Below are 8337 nucleotides of genomic sequence, written 5' to 3' on the forward strand. Positions count from 1 at the left end.
GATTGGCACCACTGTCTGCAACTCAGAGGTGAATCAATTCTAGTGGCTCATCTGTACCATTATAGAATTTGCCCTTCTTTTGATTCCTCTTCTAGATGGATAAGATGGCATTAGACACCACTGATTTTTTATTCTTGAAAATTTTTAGGTCAAATTCTAGCACTTGGGAAATTTTATTAAAAGACTCCTTACAAACTGATAGCAAAAGCACTCATTGTAATTACCACTCCATGCTGGATTTTATGAGTGGCCTACCAGCATTTATTTAATTCCACTTATTTCCAAACCAGCAAAAAGTTTAAAAAAGATTGTTATGCTCTGTAAGCCAGTTGTCAGCAAAGAACAGCCTGCAGGCCAAATGCTGGCAGTTTGTGCGAATACAAGTTTTTTTCAAAGCTCATTTCAATCGTTTACATATTATCTAACATTGCTTTTATCCTACAATATTAGGGTTGAGTGGTTGAGACAAAGACTGTATGGCTCATGAAGACTAAAATACTTATAGAAAAAGTTAGCTGCCCCTATCTAAGTTAACTAGTCACTTCACCTAAACAGGTTTACCTCCACAACGAGGCAAATTCCAACAATATCTTTCTTTTTCTAAATGGAAAAGATATGAAATAATCAACAGTCTACCAGGCGAATGCTTATTAATGAGCCACTTCAATGTTGTTGGTAAATTCTTAATGTCTGACATTTTTCCCACAGGACAAAACAAGTTATAAGCAACAGTGGAGTTTACACAAGTACCTCACAAGAATTCCAATGATGACATCCTCTAACTGCAACAAAAGTGCATTGGAGGATGCACATCATAATTTTATCTGAGACATAAAATTAGATAAGAGATAGAAAACTCCTTAAGTAATAATTGTGTTATACAACACAAAGCATAACTGATGTAGTGTCAGACACACAGTCTGTAGGAAATTCTACAAACACTGAGAAATGGCTGGTAATTAACAGACTGTAACATCATTAAGGCAACCTACAGTTTATAATATTTTTAAAATAAGACATAAACAATATTTGGAACTACTTACATTTTATCTGGGTTATATCACTATAATACTAAGAAGAGGAAATACAATTCCTTTCTAAATTTGCTACAAGAAAATAGAACTAACCCCTATGATTTAACTGTTATGTTTTATGATGCATATCAAGGGCTTTCTTGAAAGATGTAATTATAATGTTTGAAGGAACATGATTTGACTCATGTTAACCCAAATCCATGAAATAACTGTTTAAATGTTATATGAGTTCCAACATATTTATATATGTAGCACATATGTTTAACAAGCCCATTGGGTGGGATTTCATTAAAATTCAACTTTATTTTTGCCTCCCAATGCCCTTTAAAACTATTCAATGAATTAAGTTTTGCCCCTGCACCAGATGAAAACTTAGCAGGTCTCATAAGTTTTGTATTCATTTTAAGGTAATAGAATTGCCACAGTCACTTAAGAACAAAATTCAGTCTCATTTCAAAAACAGGCCAAAATATTAATCAACATTTCAATCTTCACTCCACTAACAATTCCTTACACTCATGTGGTCCTTACTAAGGGAAGGTACTATATTCGGTATCTAACCTTAAAAACAACCTTAAAAGCTACAGTAATCAAGACAGCATGCTATTGGTGAAAGAATAGAAACATGGATCGCAGCAGATTATATCAGAATAGAGGACCCCAAAATAGACTTACGCAAACACAGACAACTGATCTTTGAAATAGAAATAAAGGCTATTCAATGAAAAAAGGATAGTCTTTTCAACAAACGGTGCTGGAACAATTAGATGCCCATATCCAAAAAAGTCGACCTAGGCTCGGACCTTATACCTTTTACAAAAATTAACTCAAAAGGGATCGCAAACATAAATGTAAAATATAAAACTATTGAACTTTTAGAAGAAAGCATAGGAGAAAATCTAGGTGACCTTGGGTTTGGCAATGAGTTTTTAGATTCATCAAAAGCAAAATCCATGAAAGAAAAAAATAGATCATAAGTTGTACTTTCTTAAGATTCATAATTTCTACTTTGCAAAAGACACTGTTAGAGAATGAAAAGACAGCCAAAGACTAGACAAATCTTTGCAAAATACATCCTAATAAAGAACTTACACACAAAGAGCTCTTAAAATTCATCAATAAGAAAACAACCTACTTAAATAATGGGCCAAAGATCTAAACATATAACTCACTGAAGAAGATATACAAACAGCAAATAGAACACAAAAAGATGCTCAACATCATTTGTCATTAGAGAATTTCAAATATCACTACATACCTATCAGAATGGCTAAATTTTTTTAAAAAATCACAATACCAGTTGTTAGTGAGAAGGGGGAACAGCCACAATAAAAGAGAATTTGACAGTTTTTTACAAGCCAAATATAGTTTTATGCACTCCTAAGTATTTACCCAATTGAGTTGAAACTATATCCACACAAAAACCTAAACACAAATGTTTATAGCAGCTTTATTTATAATTGCCAAAAATTGGAAGCAATCAAGATCTCCTTCAATAGGTGAATGAAAAAACAACCATGAAGCATTCATACAATGGAATAGTATTCAGTGACAACAAGAACTGAGCTATCAGAATCTCGACTTGTGGAGGTGGAGCAAGGTGGCGGCAGAGAAAGCTCCACAGATCACCAGCCCCCACCCCTAGGAAACCAAATTATCAACTATCCGCACAGAAGAAAACACCTTCATAAGAACCGAAAAGCAGGGAGCACTCATAGTACCTGGTTTTAACTTCATAGCGCTGAAAGAGGGACTGTAGAGACAGAAAAAACAACACTGAGCCTGGCGTGGTGGCTCACACCTGTAATCACAGCACTATGGGAGGCCAAGGTGGCGGATCATTTAAGCTCAGGAGTTCAACATCCTGGGCAACATGGCAAAATCCCCATCTCTACTAAAAATAAAAATTAAAAAATAGCCCCAGGTGGTAATGTGTGCCTGTGGTCCCAGCTACTCAGGAGGCTGAGGAGGGAGGATCACTTGAGTCTAGGGGGCGGAGGTTATAGTGAGCCAGGACTGCACCACTGCACTCCAGCCTGGGTGTCAGAGTAAGAACCTGTCTCAAAAAGAAAAAAGAAAAGAAAAAACAATCCTGAATCTCTGACACTACTATGTAGCAGCAGTGGCAGCCATGTGGTGCCAAGAGTATCTCTTGGCACTGGGGGAGGGAGAGCACAGCAATTGTGGGGCATTGGACTCAGTGCTATCCTTTTAGAGCAGAAAGGAAACCCAGACCAAATTCAGCTGATGCCCACCCACAGAGGGAGCATTTACACCAGCCCTAGCCAGAGGGGAATTACCAATTCCAGTGGTCCAAACTTGAGTGCCCACAAACTTTGCCACCAAAGGCCAAAGTGCTCTCAGTCTCTCAGTAAACTTGAACAGAAGTTTAGGACATAAGGACTGCAATTCTTAGAGTCCTAGGGCTAAAGTAGGCCCAGAGACAGTGGACGGGGTGGGGGCATACAACGTACTGAGATACCAGCTGGGGCAGCCAAGAGAGCTATCTCCCCTAACCCTGGCATCACCCCTCCCCTAACGCAGGCTATAGAGCTCATGGCTTCAAAAGAGACCTCTCTCTATAGCTTGAAGAGAGGAGAGGGAAGACTGGGGAGACTTTGTCTTGCATCTTGGATACCAGCTCAGCCACAGCAGGGTAAGGCACCAGTCAAGTGAGGCACCCCCTTTCAGGCCCTAGCTCCCACACCATACCCTGGGCCAGAAAGGAACCCACTGACTTGAAGGAAAAAATCCAGACCTGCCAGCATTCATCACCTGCTAACGAAACAGACTTTGGGCCCTGAATAACCAGCCATGATAGCCAGGTACTATATTAAGGGCCTTGGTGAGCCTCTGAGACTTGCTGGCTTCAGATACCAGCACCATCACACGGCGGTAGAGCACCAAGTGGGCTCCTGGGGTCTACAATTTCAGGATTTGACTCTTGGATGGCATTTCTGGACCTGCCTGGGCCAGATGGGAGTCCACTGCCGTAAATGGTAAGCCCCAGGTCAGGCAGCATTCACTACAAGCTGACTCAAGAGAACTTGAGCCTTAAGGAAACATCCATGGTAGTCTGGCAGTATTCCTTGTGGCTAGGGGTTGTGATGGCTATGGGGTGAGTCTCCTCTGTCTTTGGAAAGGAGAGGGAAGGGGGAAGGACTGCTTCTTGTGGTTTGGGTGCCAGCTCATCCACAATACAATGGAATAACAGGTAGACGTCTAAGGTTCTTGACTCTAGTCCCTTACTCCCAGATGGCACTTCTGGACCCACCTGGGGCCTGGGGGACATTGCCACCCTGAAGGGAAGGACATAGGCCTCGTTAGCTTTGCCATTTGCTGATGGTAGAGTCCCAGGGCCTTGAGCAAACATAGGCCGTAGCCAGGGAGTGGTTATAGCAGTCCTTGGGCAAGACCCAGCACTGTGCTGGCTTCAGGTCCCAGCACAGTAATGGTGGGGATGGCCACAGTGGTGCTTGTGTCACTCCACCCCCGGCTTTAGGTGGCTCAGAACAGAGATACTCTATGTTTGGGAGAAAGTAAGGGGAGAGAACAAGAGTATCTGCCTGGTAATCTAGAGAATTCTCCTGGATCTTGTCCAAAACCATCAAGGTGGTACCTCTACGACTTTGCAAGAACCACAGTGCTACTGGGCTTGGGGTGTCTCCTAAAGCAGAAACAACTTAGATCACAACACTCAAGTTCTTTCAAATATCTGGAAAGCCTTCCCAAGAAGGGCAACTACAAATAAGCCCAGACAGTGAAGACTACAATAAATACCTAACTCTTCAATGCCCAGACACCAAAGAACATCTGCTAGCATCAACACCATCCAGGAAAACATGACCTCAGCAAATGAACTAAACAAGGCACCAGGGACAAATCCTGGAGAACCAGAGATATGTGGCTTTTCAGACAGAGAATTCAAAATAGCAGTGTTGAGGAAACTCAAAGAAATTCAAGATAAAACAGAGAAGTAATTCAGAATTCTATCAGATAAATGTACAAAGAGACTGAAACAATTTAAAAGATTCAAGCAGACATTCTGGAGCTGAAACTGGCATACCAAAGAATGCATCAGATTCCCTTAATAGCAGAATAGATCAAGCAGAAGAAAGAATTAGTGAGCGTGAAGACAGGCTATTTGAAAATACAGTCAGAGAAGACGAAAGAAAAAAGAATAAAAAACAATAAAGCATGCCTACAGGATATAGAAAATAGCCTCAAAAGGGCAAATCTAAGGGTTATTGACCTTGAAGAGAATGTAGAGAAAGACATAGGGGTATAAAGTTAATTCAGGCCAGGTACGGTGGCTCATGCCTGTAATCCCAGCACTTTGAGACGCCAAGGAGGGCAGATCATGAGGTCAGGGGATCGAGACCATCCTGGCTAACACGATGAAACCCCCTGTCTACCAAAAATACAAAAAATTAGCCAGGCATGGTGGCACACGCCTGTAGTCCCAGCTAATCGGGAGGCTGAGGCAGGAGAATTGCTTGAACCTGAGAGGCAGAGATTGCAGTGAGCTGAGATCACACCACTGCACTCCAGTCTGGGTGACAGAGCAAGACTACATCTCAAAAAAAAAAAAAGTTAATTCAAAGGGATAATATCAGGAAATTTCCCAAACCTAGAGAAAGATATTAATGTCCAAGTACAAGAAGGTTATAGAACACCAAGCAGATTTAACCCAAAGAAGACTACCTCAAGGCATTTAATAATCAAATCCTCAAAGGTCAAGGATAAAGAAATGATCCAAAAAGCAGCAAGAGAAAAGAAACAAATAACATACAAGGGAGCTCCAAAATGTCTGGCAGCAGACTTTTTAGTAAAAATGTCACAGGCCAGAAGAGAGTGGCATGATATATGTAAAGTGCTGAAGGAAAAAAACTTTTACCCTAGGGTAGTATATTCAGTGAAAATATCCTTGAAACATGAAGGAGAAATAAAGACTTTCCCAGACAAAAACAGGGCCATCCTACAAGAAATGTTAAAGGGAGTACTTAAGTCAGAAAGAAAAAGACATTAATGGGCAATAAATAATCACGTGAAAGTGCAAAACTCACCGTTAATAGTAAATACACAGAGAAACACAGAATATTATAACACTGTAACTGTGGTGTGTAAACTACTGTTACCCTAAGTAGAAAGGCTAAATGATGAACCAGTCAAAAATAATAGCTACAACAACTTTTCAAAACATAGTCAGTACAATAAGATATAAATAGAAACAACAAAAAGTTAAAAAGCATGGAGACTAAGTTGAGTTTTTTATTACTTTTCTTTTTGCTTGTTTGTTTATGCAAATAGTGTTAATTTGTTATCGGGTTAAAACAATGGGTTATAAGATAGTATTTGCAAGCCTCATGGTAACCTTAAACCAAAAAACATAAAATGGATACACAAAAAGCAAAAAGAAACTAAATCATTACAAAAGAGAAAATAATCTTTACTAGAGAAAGACAAGAATAAAAGAAAGAAGGAAGAGAAGACCACAAAACAACCAGAAGATGGCAGGAGCAAGTTCTTACTTATCAATAATAACATGGAATGTAAATGGACTAAACTCTCCAATCAAAAGAGATAGACTGGCTGAATGAATGAAAAAACAAGACCCACTGACCTATTGCCTACAAGAAACACACTTCATCTATAAAGACACTCAGACTGAAAATAAAGGGATAAGAAAAGATATCCCACACCAATGGAAACCAAAAAAGAGCAAGAGTCATATCAGACAAAATAGATATCAAGACAAAAACTCTAAGAAGAGACAAAGAAGGTCACTATATAATAATAAAAGGGTCAATTCAGCAAGAGGATCTAACAATTTTAATTGTGCAACATGTGCACCCAGCACTGGGCCATCCAGATAGATAAAGGAATTATTATTAGAGCTAGAGAGAGATAGGCCCCAATACAATAATAGCTAGAGAGTTCAACACCCCACCTTCACCATTGGACAGATCTTCAAGACAGAAAATCAACAAAGAAACACCAGACTTAATCTGCACTATAGACCTAATGAATCTGATAGATATTTACAGAATATTTCATCCAAGAACTGCAGAATACCTAGTCTTTTCCTCAGCATATGGATCATTCTCAAGGATAGACCACATATTAGGTCACAAAACAAGTATTAAAGTATGCAAAAAAAAACTGAAATAATATCAAGCATCTTCTCTGACCACAATGGAATAAAACTAGAATTTAAAAACAAGAAGAATTTTGGAAACTATACAAAGAGAGAGGGGGACCTATCTCTCTCTAGCTCTAATAATATTTCCTTTACCTATCTGGATGGCCCAGTGCTGGGTGCACATGTTGCACAGTTAAAATTGTTAGATCCTCTTGCTGAATTGACCCCTTCATTATTATATAGTGACCGTCTTTGTCTCTTCTTATATAAATACCTGGATATTACAGTATGCTCCTGAATGACTGGTAGGTTAATGAATAAATTAATAAGAAAATTAAAAATTTCTTGAGACAAATAATAACAGAAACACAACATAGCTAAATCTATGAGGCATAGCAAAGGACTGAGAGGGAAGTTGATAGCTATAAGTGCCTACATCAAAAAAGAGGAAAAGCTTCAAATAAACAATTTAACAATGCATCTTGAAGAACTAGAAAAGCCAGAGCCAACCCAACCCCAATTAGTAAAAGAAAAAAAAAATAATGATCAGAGCAGAAATAAATGAAATTGAAATGAAAGAAAAAAAAATACAAAATATCAATGAAACAAAAAAAAATTGCTTTTTTGAAAAGTTAAACAAAATTGACAAATCTTTCACCAGGCTAAACTAAGTAAAAGAGAGAGAAGATCCAAATAAATAAAATCAGAAATGAAAAAGGAGACATTACAAGATATACCACAGACATTCAAAGGATTATTAGTGGCTACTATGACCAACTATATGCCAATAAAGTGGAAAGGCTAGAAGAAATAGACAAATTTGTAGATACATACATGCTATCAAGATTAAACCCAGAGAAAATCCAAAACCTGAACAGACTAATAACAAGTAATGAGATAAAAGTCATAATAAAAAGTCTCCTAGCAAAACAATCTACAGATTCAATGCAATCCCTATCAAAATACCAATGACATTCTTCACAGAAATAGAAAAAAAAATCCTAAAATTTATGTGGAACCACAAAAGGCCCAGATTGGCCAAAGCTATCCTAAGCAAAAAGAATCAAACTGGAAGAATCACATTACCTGAATTCAAATTACACTACAGAGCTATAGTAAACAAAACAGCACAGTACTGCCATAAAACAGACACGTAGACCA

Source organism: Homo sapiens, chromosome 11, assembly GCF_000001405.40.
Source record: "Homo sapiens chromosome 11, GRCh38.p14 Primary Assembly".
NCBI lineage: Eukaryota > Metazoa > Chordata > Mammalia > Primates > Hominidae > Homo > Homo sapiens.